The 17612-nt window shown below is 36.7% G+C and overlaps 1 protein-coding gene across 4 annotated transcripts in view, besides 1 other annotated feature; it reads left to right on the forward strand.

Annotated features, from left to right (window-relative positions):
* AGPS (alkylglycerone phosphate synthase) overlaps window positions 1-17612 on the forward strand; it is a 151062-nt gene that overhangs the window by 18003 nt on the left and 115447 nt on the right. For all 4 annotated transcript variants that reach the window (NM_003659.4, XM_047446105.1, XM_011512041.3 and 1 more), the window contains exon 2: window positions 9494-9583. In NM_003659.4, the coding sequence (NP_003650.1) occupies window positions 9494-9583 (90 nt within the window). The remainder of the gene's footprint in view (window positions 1-9493; window positions 9584-17612) is intronic.
* Window positions 259-424: a silencer, noted in NCBI's record as "fragment chr2:178275762-178275927 (GRCh37/hg19 assembly coordinates)". NCBI's record gives its function as "represses an EF-1alpha promoter that drives an FKBP-Casp9 reporter gene in an ReSE screen in K562 erythroleukemia cells {active_cell/tissue: K562}" and the evidence as "EXISTENCE:reporter gene assay evidence [ECO:0000049][PMID:32094911]".

Here is a 17612-nt window from a genome sequence, read left to right on the forward strand (position 1 = left end):
AGGGTGACGGCATGGGCTGGCGCTTACCCCAGGCACCCTCAGTCCTGCTGCTGGATCATCTGGTTAGTGGCTTCTGACTCAGAGATCCTTCATCCCCTGGGGCAGTGGGCCTTCCAGTGATTCCCTTGACATAAGGGGCATGGACGAGGGGGTAGCTTATTTCTATTCGGACAATCTTTTTTAAAGTGTCCTTGTAGGCCGCACTGGAAGCAAGCCCTATTAGGCATTCAACTTGCCCAGCCTTTCGGTGTTCCAGAGCCTCAAAGTCCGCTTACCTGAGGGCCATGACTAAAGCGGTGACCTTTTTCTTAACTTGTTTGTCCCTTTCTGCCTGCTCTTTCTGATCTCTATTATAAAAAAACTGAGGTTGCCAAGTTCAGTAGGGTTTCTAAGTTTTGCTGCAGGCCTAAGGCGGACTTTTGAATTTTTTCTAATGTCTGCAACTGACTGAATAATAAACTTACCCTTTAAGATTAGTTGGCCTTCAATAGAGTCAGTTGACAGAGAGCTATGCTTCCTCAGTGCCTCCCTTAGTCTCTCCAGAAACGTGGTAGGATTTTCTTTCTTTCCCTGTGTTATAGTGGACAACACTGAATAATTTATAGGCTTCTTCCTAGTTTTCCTTAGTCCTTCTAGCACGCAAGTTAGTAAATGTCTGCAGCACCAATCTCCATGTTCTGATTCTGCATCCCAGTGAGGGTCTACACTGGGAACTGCCTGCTGGCCTGTGGGGAATTGTTCTTTCCTCTGTTGTCATCCTATCATTGACCTGACTGAGATACCAGAGATCGCCAAACTCTCAGGTTGCAGTTATGGCAGCACTTTTCTCATTTGGGGTTAGTGTCTGATCTAGCAGTAACATTATATTTTTCCATGTCAGATCAAAGGATTGTCCTAACCCTTGTAAAACATCAATATAGCCATCAGGGTTATCTGATAATTTACCTAGGTCTATTTTAATTTGTCTCTCTCTCTCTGTCTGTCTTTCCTCTCCTTGACTTACTCAATTTGCTTTTATCCTGTTCTATTATGTTGTTGTAGACCCATAGTACTGGGTCATCAGTTCTAAGGCCCTGGCCAAGGAGCCAAGGCTTGGAGATTGTATTGCAGAGGGATAAGCTGGGTAGAAATCGGGGGAGGAGAGCATCTTACACAATGGGAGAGCAGTCCTCCTAGCCATTTACAAACTTGGGGCCCTGGCAAGTTGGTGGGGAACAGGTCCCACATAACGGTCGAGAGCTGTGTGGCTAAATTGGGAGGGACACGAGGGACAAGACTCACTGGGTTGATAGCCTAGATGCCTAAGGACACAGCATAGAGCTTCATTAGATCCCTTTGGAGATACAACTTGCTCCAATACGTGGGAAAGGAAATGAAAGTCTGAACCATTAGTATCTAGGAGGCAGGGATCAGAGGAAGTAGATTCAGAGGTAAGGAGAATTTTGGGGCTACACTTTCAAGAAAGTCATGGTCAGGACCCAGGAGGTATGGGTCAGAAGGAAAGGTGGGGTGCACGCATGGGTGACTGTTGAGTAGAGACTTCTGGCTGTACCATGATGTCAACCGGCTAATGCTGGGAGTTCGGGACGACAGCTTTCTGCCTCTAGTTGGCCCTTGGCTTCCCCAGGAAAATTGAAAGCGCAAGCTGGTTCCAGGCAGATCAATGCTCCCAACCCAGAAGGTTTGGGGGTTGTTAGAAAGCCTTTTCCCAGATAGCCTCACATCTGAGTCTTAAGTCTGGCAGCCACGCTAATCGTTTTTTTAACTGGCCGACAAGCACCCTGTATTTTCCTCTGATTCTAAGGAAGGATAGCAAGCGAAAGTAGTCCAATATTACTCACCGCTTTGGAGAGTCCCTTCGTGGTTGCCAAAATGTTACCAGGGTGTCCTTGCTCCTAGAGCTCCCAAGATGTTGGCGGCCACTTCCAAGATGGCAGCAAGCCTCTTGTTCTCTGACCTGGGGTTCTTGGCCTCACGGATTCCAAGGAATGGAATCTTGGGCCATGTGGTGAGTGTTATAGCTCTATTAGAAGCCATGGGTCATGGAACAGAACCGTGGAACCCAGCGACTAGTGTTCAGCTTGATTAGGATGAACTTGGGCACTTAGCTGTGCAGGAACAATGGCAAGCCTTTAGCCCGATCGGGAGTGGCAATGGGTGCCTCGCTGGATCAGGAGCACAGTGGACACCCTGCTGGATCTGGAGGGGTGGAAGTCAGCATCAGCGGCGGGTCTGCGATGGCGGCAAACAACAGTGGTGGATGGCAAGTGAAAGCACAGCTGGAGCCATAACAAACACAGACCAGAAGAGTATGCAGTTGCAAGATTTAATAGAGTGAAAACGGAGCTCCCATACAATGGGAGGGAACCCAAAGGGGGTTGCCCAACAATTACGGTTTACAACAAGAATACTGTGTACATTAAGCCGGTATGGATTTCAGTCTTGGTATTTTTAGGGTCATGCCAAGGGTATTGTTGGTCTGTCCCCAAAGGACAGCAGGGGAAGGGAACTTAGGCTTGGTTTCAATGCTAAAATGGCATATAGATTTTTGGAGACATTTGTATTTTCTTTGTCTGTGTTCAGTTTTGTAGTTTCTACAGAAATGCAAGGCTCTACCAGAAATGGCTTTGGTCACTTATGGATTGGTCAGTATAATAAGCTTGTGATACAATTCCTTTTTTAATTACTAACAAGCATGGAGTGAGCAATGAAAGTGAATTGGCATTTTCCCAGTTGGTGGTAGAGACAGTCTGGGGTTGGTTGCCAAAATTGCCATATTGGGTAGATTACAAGTGGACAATGAAGGGAAAAACCATGAAATTTAAAGTACAGTCCAGGGAACACAAGAGTCCAAGTGAAGGATATATCCTTTTCTCTTTGTCCTTTGCTATGACAACCTCCTGATGCAGATTTGGATTGTTTTCCTCATTACGTAGATCAACACCTGAGGGTAAAGGGTAGGATGGTTGTTTCTTTCCAGGCTTCCAGAATGGCAGGTACCAAGCTTGTGTGAGTGGATATGTGGGTACACACCTGCCCTTACCACAAAATATTTGTAACATACACTACTAAATGTATGAATGACTAATAGTGTGTATTTCCATTTTCAAATGCGTCATTCAAACAGTAACAAGTTTCTAATTGGTAGATTATGGTGTAGTGTGTGAGAGAAGTGTGGGAGTAAAGAATGGCACCCCAAGAACCTGAAGTGATTAGTGACTGCCCAGAGTATTCTGTCAATGTGAGGTAAAGCTGGTCTTGCCTTATTTGCCCTTCTTGCCCCCCGCCCCTTTCCTGTGCCTCTGTTTAGAATTTTTCCCCTTTATACCTGTATATTACTTTTTCTTTCACTCATTTATTCATGATAAATGTAGTAGGAATTGGACCTTTGGGACGCAGTTTTTGAGCCTTGAATTCAAGTTTTAAAAGGTTTCTTTCTTTTCTTTTTTTTGAGACAGGACCTCACTCTGTCACCCAGGCTGGAGTGCAGTGGCAATCATGGCTCACTGCAACCTTGAACTCTTGAGCTCAAGGGATCCTTCTGCCTTGGCCTTGTAGTAGCTGGGATTACAGGCTTGCACCACCACACCTGGCTTTTATTTTATTTTATTTTTGAGAATTAGGGGTCCCGCTGTATTGCTCAGGCTTATTTTGAACTTCAAGGCTCAAGTTATCCTCCCACCTTGGCCTCCCAAAGTGGTGGGATTACAGGTCATTGTGCTTGGCCTTAAAAAGTTTTTTAGAGTGCTAGTTTCTTGTGGACTATAAAAAGTTGACTGTAGGTAGTTAAATGTATATTTGGTTTACCATATAGTTGAAGCTGTTTAATTCATAATGGAATTCTATCATTCAAAAAAATTTGTAGCTATTGCTAAGAAGCCCAATAGATTTTATAATAAACCATCATGAAAGTTCTGTGTATATATGGAAGAAAGAATTATTTTCTCAGAACAGAGAGAAACTGCACTGAGATTCAAAGGCTGAGCAGCGTATTTGCCTCAGGTTCAGAGAGTTGTGGTAACATACATTTTTAATGTATGGTATTTGTGTGAGGCCTCTAATTTTCCTCCATCTCTGATTACTAATTTCATCTGCCTATCCCATGGGTGCCTATGAAGGTTCGTGTGTGTGTGTGTGTGTGTGTGTATAATGTATATAATATACATATATGATGAATGCATTATAAATAATATATCTGGATATATTATATATAATATTTTGTGTTTTGTGAAATATGCAGTGTTATTTAGTGTGTATATTTTTAATTCCCTTAAATGCTGTTTTACTATGGATTTTATTGTTTCTCCTTTGTGTTTACCACTGTTTTAAACATTTCATCGTGTTTCTATATGCATATCTATTCAACTTACTGCTTTTGATTGCTGCATTAATATTTCATGGAATGCATTTTCCACATTACTTACCTGCTTCTCTAGTGATGCCTCCAGCTACTCTTACAAACAATGCTCCAGGGAATATATCAAATGTGTTCCCTTATGGAATTGTATATGAATTTCCTATGCAATATATACCCAGGAGTTGTATAGTTGGGTCATAGAATTGGCATTACCTATGAAAGCTTACTACATGATTGCTCTGTGGAGTGGCTTACCAGTATGCATGTGGATTCCTTTTCTTCATGTTCTTGTTAACAACTTTCTGTGTTCTCAAATCTCATATTTAAGCCACTTTGCATTATCACACTGCTAAGAATTATCACATTGATTAATAACTTATTATATCACAGGGTCACATTTTTATTCTGGCAACTAGAGCTGAGAAACTTACAATGGGGATATTGAGGGAAGATTGAAATTCTTGTTGAAGTTTAAAGTGTTGCATGATAATGTTCAAGAAGGCTCACTGTCTAGAGGACACAGATTATACCTTGTTGACCCATCTAGAAACATGATCTTATCAGAGTCCTCAAGTTGATTACATTTAGATAGTCTGACTGCCCTCACCAGTTACCAAAGTTAATTAACAAGCCAATAAACTAATTCATGATGAAAAGTAAAACTGTAGATCCTTTTGGCCATTTCAGTTGTCCTTTTTTTTTTCTCTCTAGGAAATCACAATATTATCAGATGAAGGTAGCTTTGTGAGTTTTATATCAGGGCAAGAGGAAATATTGATCTGAAGAGTGAAGCATCTTTTATTAGAATTTTGATTATTGGAATTTTATCAGAAAAACTTTTATAAAAGTTATTAGATAGCTGAACTTTTACAGTTGTTAACCCAGAATGAAAGTAGCCAAAATCATTTTTTCCTTTTCCTTATTTTCTAGTGAAAAATATTATGACTATTATGATTAGAAATAGCAATGTAGAAACCATGCATATATATCAGGATGTTTGCAGTTTATTACTAGTAGAGGAATAGTAGTGTGACAACCAGTCTGTAAACAGAGACTTCAAAGTGAAAATTTCCCATTTTAAGAATAAAGAAACTCTTTATGGTTTTTATAATAGTAAGGCTAAATCTAAATATTTCACCTAAAGATTGTATAATAACAGCCCTGAAAAATGCAAAATGCTGAATATGTACATCATGTACATATCATGGGAGAATACTGCCACCTTGTGCATATAGGATGCTATTTTATGCCTCCATTTTCTTTTGTTACACCAGCTAATACTTGCTTTTTCAGTTTGGTACTGTGGTTAGATGTGTAAATGTGTAAAACATTTATTTTTTTATGCAGTAAAATCAAGCCAACTATTCTTTCGGCAGGAGGAGGGTTTTTTTTTGTTTTGTTTTGTTTTTTTGAGACGGAGTCTTGTTCTGTCACCCAGCCTGGAGTGCAGTGGTGTGATCTCGGCTCACTGCCACCTCCGCCTCCCAGGTTCAAGCGATTCTCCTGCCTCAGCCTCCTGAGCACCTGGGACTACAGGCATGCGCCACTACACCCAGCTAATTTTTTTTTTTAATTTGTAGTAGAGATGGGGTTTCACTATATTAGCCAGGATGGTCTTGATCTCCTGACCTTGTGATCTGCCCACCTTGGCCTCCCAAAGTGCTAGGATTACAGGTGTGAGCCACTGTGCCTGGCCCGGTCTTGTTTTTTGAAAGATGTTAAATTTGGTATAGTTAGCTCTAAGAATTGGAATGTCTGAGATCATACTGGTTAATTGACCTCTGGGGTTAGTTGAGAATTGGATTCTTTTATTTGAATCTTATGGAAAGTTGATGATTCTTTAATCATTCTTCATTTTAGTGCTTGCAGTACTTTGGGGTTATTCTGAATGGCAGAATTCATTACACTATCGGAAGTATAGGGAATTTGGCTTCTGACACAAACATATCCCTTGATTTTTAAATGTTTTCCTTCAGCTGAAGTGCAGAAGAATTACTACAACACAGGGTGAGCATCCTTAATTTGAAAATCTAAAATCCACAATGTTCCAACATTGGAAACTTTTTGAACACTGTCATGAGATAGTGATTCCTTTGCTTCCTGATAGTTCAGTGTATGCAAACTCTGTTTCATGCACAAAACCATTAAAAATATTGTATAAAATTACCTTCAGGCTATGTGATAAGATGTATATGAAACATAAATAAATTTTATGTTTAGACTTGGGTCCCATCCCCAAGAAATCTCATTGTGTATATGTAAATATTCCAGAATCTGAAAAATATCTGAAATCTGAAACACTTCTGGTCCCAAGCATTTTGGATAAAGGATACTCAATCTATAGTAACATGTAATAGTTTCTTGAAACAGTATTGATGTAAATCAAAAAATGAGTTCTTTCAAATATTCTGGTTATCTGACAGCCTGACTTAGATGGGTTTCAGATATTATTGCCTCTCTGAAGAGGAAGAATTATGAGACTGGAAGTCAGCCTTTGGATACTCACAACTAACTTAGCTGCGTGACCAGGGATGCTTCTCTGGGCAGTTTCTTTATCTGAAAAATGAGCAATTGAACTGGATGGGTTCTGAGGATCTTTTTAGTTTTCAAATTCTGTGACTATATAAAGTTTTACTCTAATTTTAAAATGTTATGCTGTAATACCGTTCAAAATACTTCTATGTATAAGAAGTTATTAAAAAATTTAATCATATAGTTATATTTAACTATCAGAGTATATACTAGTAATTTGGTGGGGATGGGGTTAGAATATGTGTACATAAAAGTTTAAAACTAGAAGCCTGGGAAATTTACCTGTTTTTTATTTAACACCTGGGGTACTTGAAGATATCAGAAGATTGGTTTGGGGGTAATCTAGATTTTAATTGTATATGATTTATGCATAATCCTGTTTTGGGTATAAATGCATTCCAAATGCCTACATTCAACTTCTGAGAAGACTCCAAAAGTTGATATAAATATGGTAAAGTCCATTTCATAAGCCCAATTTTATGACTGGGATGAAAAGAGAGAAAAAGGTACCTACAGTTGAAAATTTGGAAGTTCTTTAGAATATTACCCAACTTGAAAATTTAAGGCCAAAGACTCTTCAGGATGTAAATCCCTTCATTTTATAGTGTATAACAGCAGATCTTTCCTGCTATCTTGATTCATTTCCTCATGAAGTGCTAAGAATGAACCCATGTGACCAAGTTTAGCTTTTTACTTTGGGGCCATCTGGGGATAAGTTTTTAAATTCTAGGGATAATTTTAAGGAAAATGATTTTCGTTGTTAAGCTACATAAACATGCCAGATTCAACCTCTGTACTGAAATGATTTCCTTGTGCCTTGCCTTGAGATTTTTGCATTTATTTTGTGTAATACCAAATTACTATTTTGTAGAGAACAGAATTATAATAAATGTTGAAATTCACTAATAAAATGCAATCACATAAAATCTATGCATATTATAAGCCATTAAAGATGTTAATGTATTAAAATATACATTTATCCTTCTGATTATTGAAATATAAGAAAATACTAAGTAAATTATACTTCATAAAAGTGAAGATAATTTAATCATGAAAAAAAGCAAAGTGGAAAATATCCTAATCTGTTTTTAGAATGTGAAAATCTTATGGTTCAATCCCAAGTTTTGGCACCAAAAAAAAAAAAAGTAAAATCTTAAGAAAATGTGTGTGTCACTGGTAACATTAGTCGTGATGTTTCTCCATAGAGATTTTTCCAAAAGCTCCGTTCCAAAATCTCTCTCTGCAATGAGGTAGGAATGTTATGGGATTAGAAAAAATATTTGGTGTTAGTTTATAACTAATCTACAAATCCAGTCTCTGGATTGATACTCTTCAGATATTTTGAAGTTTTTGTAGAGGGACTGTAGCTTTTATTAATAGCAAATCATAGTTGTAAACAGAGCATTCCTAGTTTCTTTGTCTTAATTTTATGTATAGATGGAGATTTCAGCTCATAATTAATTACCTGTATCTGGCTTAGTTGTATTATGTTCATGTTCATTTGTTTGAAAAGCCTTTGAACTAGAACAAGAATTATGATTGTAATAAAAAAACTTGCTTGTCAGTTGTTATTTTCTTCTTTCTTGAGAATTACAGAGAATAAGAGAACACTTTCTAATGCGTGCATCTTTATTTTGAAATTTTAATGCAGCAAATAACTTTCAAGATAGAAAAGGGTTTTTGTTAAGTTATTTGCACCATAAACTGCATAGTTGAATTTGTAGTAAGAAGACTCACCACCAATTTATTTCAGTAGCCAAGATCAAACTAGGGTACTATGCCAAAACATGTAATAAAAAGTGATGCAATACTTCAGCATGATTGCTTTTTATGTTTTGTACAGGTCCAGACCTATCTATTCTTACATGATGTGCAAAATTGAATGATTCAACCATTGATTTTGATAAATAAGGATTTTTACAACTATGAAATATTGGTGTTTTGCAAATTAAAAATAGCATGTTATGAAATATTGGTATTTTGGAAATTAAAAATAGCATGTTATTTTGAAATATTGAAAGTGAGTATGGCCATTAACTGTTACAATATGTAGGTCAAGGTAGAGATTGGTAGCTATATGGAATTTGAAGAATTTAGAATGTAAACCCAGCACTGAGATTTTTAATCTACTTTATTGTGTCTACTACTAGTCAGTCTACTTGGTAAATTGGTCTTTTTTTAAAAATCGTAGCAGAAGGTTAATAATTATGATTTTTTTCTCATGTGTAAAACTTTGTTTCCTTAGTTTTAATTGCAAAGCTTTTTAGGTCATTCTACAGTGTAAACCCAATAACATGTACAAAATGAGACATTTATATTTTAAGCATATCTTCTTCCTTTTTGCAACTTTTTATTTCTTCCTTTGAATGCATTAAATTTATTGGTTGTAGCCCTCTGTGAAGCAGGTGCTGCTCATCAGAGTGATTCTATATTCAGAAATATTAGTATATGGACATTTTAATGTGTGCTAATTTTATTTAACCTTATACAATATTTGTGGGCATAAGGTATTTTAGATGATTGTGAGTTAATAATCAATGATATACTGTACAGTTTTAAGATGTTTAGCATTGGTCTCACTTATATATATTTTCTTCTCACTAGGCAAGAAGTTATGAAATGGAATGGATGGGGATATAATGATTCTAAATTCATCTTCAATAAGAAGGGCCAAATTGAATTGACTGGGAAAAGGTAACCCTGGTTTATTTCTTCTTTTGTTCCTCCTTTAATTCTTTCTTTCTATGAAAAATTTTAAACACACATGAAAATATAATGATTCCTCCTTGAGTTTAAACATTATCAACATTTTGCCATAACTGCTTTTTGTCTCCTGGTAATATTTCAAATTCTGATGTTGTCATGTCACCTCTAAATATATGTATTTGTGTGTGTGTATATATATATTATATGTCTTAAAAAATAAGGACCTAATATAACCAATTATATAATATTATATATCCAAAATAGCAAAAAATTTTTATTTAGTTATCCAGTTCATATTCACATTCTCCAGTTGTCTCACAAACATCTTTTATAGGTAGTTTATTTGTGTCAGGATCCAAATAATGTCTATAAGCCACCCACCACCCAATTCCCATGCCATTCAGTTTTTTGAAAGTAGCTTCATATTTAAATCTGGTAATTTACAAGGAGTGTGGGTTATTATGAAAGGTGAATGATTTTAGGTCTGTGTGAATATAAATAGTATTTTAAAAAATTAGCTTCTGAGATAAATTAGGAAAGAAGTGATAGGGAAAGATCAGTCATTTTTGTGATAGCTTTTCTATGTCTTAAATGTGGTTATTTGTTGATAAGAATTACAAAGCATATTGGTTCAATCATACCTCAGTAAAACTGGAAAAATATTAAAAAGAATTCTAAAGGATATTTGTGTTATTCCTGTTTGTTCTAGATATGGTCAGAATTGTAAAACGAGTTCTTTGTTGGTTTTAAGCAATACTGCCTTTGCCAAAGCTCTGTTTTTGGTTTGTCTGTTGAATTTTGATACATTTGAAAGGGCAGTGAGTACAAATATGTAATACTTAAATGCTGGAACCAAAAATAAAAAGAAACTGAGACTAAGTAAAAAATTGGATCAGATATATTATGAGTCTATTCCAGTATTGTACCCTGATTTAATATCTATTGGACATTACTATACTTAAGTTAATGTTTTTAAAACATGTGCTATATCAGTATATTAAAATATCAGCAAAGTAAGTTTCATTCCTTTGGAGAAGTTATTTATTTCCTTTTCATTGCAATGTATTAATAATTTTTCTATTTTTCTGACATTAATATTTTGTACCTAAAATAAAACCTCAGGAATAGTAATTTGAAAGTAATTTTAATGAAGTTCTGAAGATGTACATTTGACTTTTTTTTTAATTAGGAAAATAAATATTATCTGTGTTCTCATTCCCATCCTTAATTGTGACTGGGTAGCAAGCAATGGAGGCTTAGTTGAGAAATTGTGTAATTCAGGTAGAAGGGATTTCTGGTTAATATCAGATTTACCAGTGTTCTAAATGTGGAATCTTTTATGTTTTATTTAAATAGAATAATGCCTAATACAATAGAAACATCGATGTAGAGATCGGCTTTTCAAAATCTTCTGAAGGAGTAAAAATTAATCTTCTGAACTTAGAAAACCGAATTTCTCTCTTCTCGGACACTGTCCTCATTTCTCCTTCTCTTTTTCTCTGTGTTTGGACCTTGAAGGTATACAGTATTTCTGTTTTATGGAACAGGGTAGATAGTCACTTGTATTTCAGCAAAGTCTTCTGTACAGTACTGTAGGCCATGTAATGGTTTATATGAGAAGGTGTGTGTGTATGTGTGTGTGTGTGAAATGAATGACTAGTCATAAAACATCACAGGTAATTATACCTTAGTGGGTCCCATGTTTTCAGGATCTCGTTCTTATTTTGGGTGTTCTGGCACTTGATTTGTCAGTTTCCTGGAAGAGATGAGGCTGTAGGGGTCTGACACACATGCCACACTTCTAAGAAACTGATTTAAAAAATTAGAACCTCAGTGTATTCATTTATGGTTAGATTATTGCTTTTTCAGGGTATGGAATACTTGTTAGTGCCCTTTCTGATGTTAGGGTATCTAGAGAACAACATTTGCAACTTAGATATTCTTTGGAGAGCATACATTCAGAACAAAGGAGATTTGATGGTCTTGATAGAGATTTTTATACAGGCTGTAATAGAACCAGAGAATTTATCTGTTGGTTTTAATGGGTTACTACCACTCCTACCAGAATGCATTCCTTAAAGGCCTCATTTCTTTGCATTGTTGACTCCTAAGTCAGAGTCCAGTGGGGGAGAGGGAGAATAAGGGTTCATCTGACTGGAAGAGCCTGCAAGGGAGACCAGGAAAGTGAATATCTGGCAAATTTGCATTAGTGGAGGGTAGCTTTTGCCTTCCTTCAAGACTTACAAAAAGGATAATTCCCCAAACGTATAAATGGGATTTAGGTGCTCTGAGATTAAATATATACTAAACAAACAATAACTAAAATGAAATAACAAAACAAAATTCAATTCCCATTTTGGTGGGAAGCACCAGTACCTTGTCACAGGATAATAAACTGGGTTGAATTGAATCATAACTTTCTCTATATCTAGTCTGTTTTCCTAAGAATAATTGGTGAATGAGTAGGTTTCTCTGATTTTTATCAGAAAACATTTACAAACACTCTTAAGATAATAATATCTACTATTTATTGAGTATCTACTGAGTTACCTTACAATAACCCTATCAGATGGATAGAGTTACCTTCTTAAAAATAATGAGGATGAGGAAAGTTAAGTAGCTTACCTGAAGTCACCTGCATAGTGGTAAATTGGGATTAAAAACCAGGTGTTTTTTTAAACTTCATTCTTCTGCAGTTTCTATTATACTGTGCTTCTGAGTTATTTCTGTAGATAACTAAACTCATCCACTGTACTGATCTTGTTCTGTCTTCAAACCCTGGGAGCACTACACTCTGTATACCAGCACGGTAGAATTAGTCATATTATAAAAGGTTATCTTGTGTCAAAAATTCCTATTGTTACTGTGAAAGGCAAAGGGGAGAAGCGTAAGAAGATTGTGATATTCCTGAAAGAGAAAATGGAATTCATGACTACGAAGACTGAGTACAAGAAAACACTGTTTGGCTGAACAGTATTAATTCACTCTTATTTATTAATAATATTAGATGGTAAGGACAATTTTTGAAATTTTTTGTAGAGACTTTCTATTCTGGCAGTGAGGTAGACAGAAATAATTCAGGCCCCTCGCCTTCTATAACCATACAGAAAAGTTGGATAAAATATTAGAAGAAAGAAATATAACAGAGCTGGAAAGAAAGAAAGGGAAATCCCAGGTGCCAGAAACTAATGTGATTATCAGTGAAAATTGATGAGGTGTGGGGTTTTCCTATTTCTGATCCAAAGAACATTGAAAAGGTAGATTTTTATACGGAAATGTAGTTGATTGTCTATATTTTGCAGGAGGGCGACTTTGACATTTCAAGCCCAGGCATTACATTGTAAGCAATTATTAGAAGCTATTATAGAATAACAGCTTTTCCCCTATGTTAGGAGAAGAGTCTGAAATTTTTTTCTGAGCAGTCTATCTTCTGAACAGATTTATAATTTATCAGTTTATAAATCTCTAGATTTATCACTTACCACTCTTATTCCTTCTAAGTATGAGTGAATTTAGTCCTCCTGGGTTTAAGCAGCATAAGGCAATACTCTGGAGCCAATTCTAGAGATTTTTTTTTTCCTTCAGCTTTTAAGTTCTGGGGTACATGTGCAGGATGTGCAGGTTTGTTACATAGCTAAACGTGTGACATGGTGGTTTGCTGCACAGATCAACCCATCCCCTTGGTTATTAGGTTATTAAGCCCACTATCCATTAGCTGTTTTTCCTGATGCTCTCCCTCCTTCTACTGCTCCCCTTGATGGGCCCCAGTGTATGTTGTTCCCCTCCTTGTGTTCATGTGTTCTCATTGTTCAGCTCCCACTTATAAGTGAGAACATGCGGTGTTTGGTTTTCTGTTCCTGTGTTAGTTTGCTGAGGATAATGGCTTCCAGCTCTATCCATGTCCCTGCAAAGGACATGATTGTGTTCCTTTCTATGGCTGCATAGTATTCCATGGTGTATATGTACCATATTTTCTTTATCCAGTCAATCATTGATGGACATTTGGGTTGATTCCATGTGTTTGCTATTGTGAATTGTGCTGCAATGAACATATGCATGCATATATCTTTATAATAGAATGATTTTTTTTTTTGCCTGTACAACTATTTAATGTCTGTATGCCTCTGAATAGTAATTAGGAGAAAACATATGGAAATGAAAATTATTTCAAATTTTAAAATCTTGAAACAGAAAGCAATATTTATAATGTATCTATTCCTTTGTGTATTTACCCAGTAAGGGGACTGCTGGGTCAAATGGTATTTCTGCCTCTAGATCTTTGAGGAATCACCACACTGTCTTCCACAATGGTTGAACTAATTTACAGTCCACCAGTGTAAAAGCATTCCTTTATCTCTGCAACCTCACTGGCATCTGTTGTTTCTGGACTTTTTAATAATCGCCATTCTGACGTGAGGTGGTATCTCATTGTGGTTTTGATGTGCGTTTCTCTAATGATGAGTGATGCTGAGCTTTTTTTCATGTTTGTTGGCTGCATGAATGTCTTCTTTTGAGAAGTGTCTGTTCATGTCCTTTGCCCACTTTTTAATGGGGTTGGTTTTTTCTTGTAAATTTGTTTAAGTTCCTTGTAGACTCTGGATATTAGACCTTTGTCAGATGCTCCGATTGCAAAAATTTTCTCCCGTTCTGTAGGTTGTCTGTTCACTCTGATGATAGTTTCTTTTGCTGTGCAGAAGCTCTTTAGTTTAATTAGATCTCATTTGTCAATTTTGGCTTTTGCTGCAATTGCTTTTGGCGTTTTTGTCGTGAAATCTTTGCCCATGCCTATGTTCTGAATGGTATTGCCTAGATTTTTTTCTGGGGTTTTTATAGTTTTGGGTTTTACATTTAAGTCTTTAATCCATCTTGAGTTAATTTTTGTGTAAGATGTAAGGAAGGGATATAGTTTCAATTTTCTGCATATGCCTACCCAGTTCTCCCAGCACCATTTATTAAATAGGGAATCCTGGCCGGGCGCAGTGGCTCACACCCGTAATCCCAGCACTTTGGGAGGCTGAGGCGGGTGGATCACCTGAGGTCAGGAGTTTGAGACCAGCCTGACCAACATGGAGAAACCCTGTCTCTACTAAAAATACAAAAATTAGCAGGGCATGGTGGCGCATGCCTATAATCCCAGCTACTCATGAGGCTGAGGCAGGAGACTCGCTTGAACCCGGGAGGTGGAGGTTGCGGTGAGCCAAGATCACGCCATTGCACTCCAGCCTGGGCAACAAGAGTGAAACTCTGCCTAGAAAAAAAAAAAAAAAAAAAAAAGGAAATCCTTTCCCCATTGCTTGTTTTTGTCAGGTTTGTTGAAGATCAGATGGTTGTAGGTGTGCAGTCTTATTTCTGGGATCTCTATTCTTTTCCATTGGTCTATGTGTCTGTTTTTGTGCCAGTACCATGATGTTTTGGTTACTGTAGGCTTGTAGTATAGTTGGAACTTGGGTAGTGTGATGCCTCCAGCTTTGTTCTTTTTGTGTAGGATTGTCTTGGCTATACAGGCTCTTTTTTGATTCCATATGAATTTTAAAATAGTTTTTTCTAGTTCTGTGAAGAATGTCAATGATAGTTTAATGGGAATAGCATTGAATCTATAAATTACTTTGGGTAGTATGGCCATTTTCACAATATTGATTCTTCCTATCCATGAGCATAGAATGTTTTTCCATTTCTTTGTGTCTTCTCTGAGTTCCGTGAGCAGTGATTTGTAGTTGTCCTTGAAGAGGTCCTTCATTTCCCTTGTTAGATGTATTCATAGGTGTTTTATTCTCTTTGTAGCAATTGTGAATGGGAGTTCATTCATGATTTGGCTCTCTTCTTGCCTGTTGTTGGTGTATAGGAATACTAGTGATTTTTGCACATTGATTTTGTATCCTGAGACTTTGCTGAAGTTGCTTATCAGCTTCAGAAGCTTTTGGGCTGAGATGGTGGGGTTTTCTAGATACAGGATCATGTCATCTGCAAACAGAAACAGTTTGACTTCCTCTCTTCCTATTTGAATTTTCTTTATTTCTTTCTCTTGCCTGGTTGCCCTGGCCAGAACTTCCAATACTATGTTGAAAGTAGTGGTGAGAGAAAGCATCCTTGTCTTATGCCGGTTTTCGAGGAGAATGCTTCCAGCTTTTGCTCATTCTGGTATAATATTGACTATGAGTTTGTTATATATGGCTCTTATTATTTTGAAGTATGGTCCTTCAATCCTTACTTTATTGAATTTTTAACATGAAGAGATGCTGAATTTTATCTAAGGCCTTTTCTGTGTCCATTGAGATAATCATGTGGTTTTTGTCTTTAGTTCTGTTTATGTGATAAATTACATTTATTGATTTGCATATGTTGAACCAACCTTGATTGTGGTGGATAAGCTTTTTGATGTATTGCTGGGTTCAGTTTGCCAGTATTTTATTTAGGATTTTTGCATTGATGTTCATCAGGGATATTGGCTTGAAGTTTTCTTTTTTTGTTGTTGTGTCTCTGCCAGGTTTTGGTATCAAAATGATGCTGATCTCATAAAAGGAGTTAGGTAGCAGTCCCTCCTTTTCAATTTAGTTTCAGTAGAAATGGTACCAGCTCTTCTTTGTACCTCTAGTAGAATTCAGCTGTAAATCTGTCTGGTCCTGGGCTCTTTTTGGTTGGCAGGCTATTACTGTCTCATTTTCAGAACTCATTACTGGTCTATTCAGGGATTCAGGTTCTTCCTGGTTCAATCTTGGGAGGGTGTATATGTCCAGGAACTTATCCACTTTTTTCTAGATTTTCTAGTTCATGTGCATAGAGATGTTGATAGTATTCTTTGATGATTGTTTGTATTTCTGTAGTGTCAGTGGTGGTATCCCCCTTATCATTTTTGATGGTGTCTGATTCTTCTCTCTTTTCTTCTTTATTAGTCTAGCTAGCAGTCTGCCTATTTATTTTTTCAAAAAACCAGCTCCTGGATTCATTGGCTTTTTGAAGGGTTTTTCACATCTCTATCTTCTTTAGTTCTGCTCTGATCTTGGTTATTTCTTGTGTTCTGCTACCTTTGGAGTTTGTTCTTGGTTCTCTAGTTCTTTTAGTTGTCATGTTAGGTTGTTAATTTGAGATCTTTCTAGGTTTTTGATGTGGGCATTTTAGTGCTAGAAATTTTCCTCTTAACACTGCTTTAGCTGCACCCCAGAGATTCTGGTACTTTGTTTCTTTGTTTTCATTAGTTTCAAATAACTTCTTGATTTCTGCCTTAATTTCACCCAGGAGTCATTCAGGTTGTTCAGTTTCCATGTAGTTGTATGGTTTTGGGTGATTTTTTTAGTCTTGATTCTAACCTGATTGTGTTGTGGTCTGAGAGACTGTTATGATTTCAGTTATTTTGCATTTGCTGGGGGGTGTTTTAATTCCGATTACGTGATCAATTTTAGAGTAAGTGTTGTGGCGATGAGAAAAATATATATTTTGTTGTTTTTGGGTGGAGGGTTCTGTAGATGTCTATCAAGTCTGCTTGATCCAAAGCTGAGTTCAGGTTTTGAATATCTTTTAATTTTCTGTCTCAGTGATCTGTCTAATATTGTCAGTGGGATGTTAAAGCCTCTCACTATTATTGTGTGTGAGTGTAAGTCTCTTTGTAGGTCTCTAATAATTTGCTTTATGGATCTGGGTGCTCCTCTATTGGGTACATATATATTTAGGATATTTAGCTCTTCTTGTTGAATTGAACCCTTTACCATTATGTAATGCTCTTCTTTGTCTTTTTTGGTCTTTGTTGGTTTAAAGTCTGTTTTGTCAGAAACTAGGATTGCGACACCTGCTTTTTTCTGTTTTGCATTTGCTTGGTAAATTTTCCTCCATCCCTTTCTTTTGAGTTCATGTGTGTCTTTGCATTTTACATGGGTCTCTTGACAGCATGCTAATGGGTCTTGACTCTTCACCCACCTTGCAATTCTGTGTCTTTTAATTCGGGCATTTAGCCCATTTACATTTAAGGTTTTTATTATGTGTGAATTTGATCCTGTCATCATGATGCTAGGTAGTTATTTTGCAT

This window comes from Homo sapiens, chromosome 2, assembly GCF_000001405.40.
Source record: "Homo sapiens chromosome 2, GRCh38.p14 Primary Assembly".
Classification (NCBI taxonomy): Eukaryota; Metazoa; Chordata; class Mammalia; order Primates; family Hominidae; genus Homo; species Homo sapiens.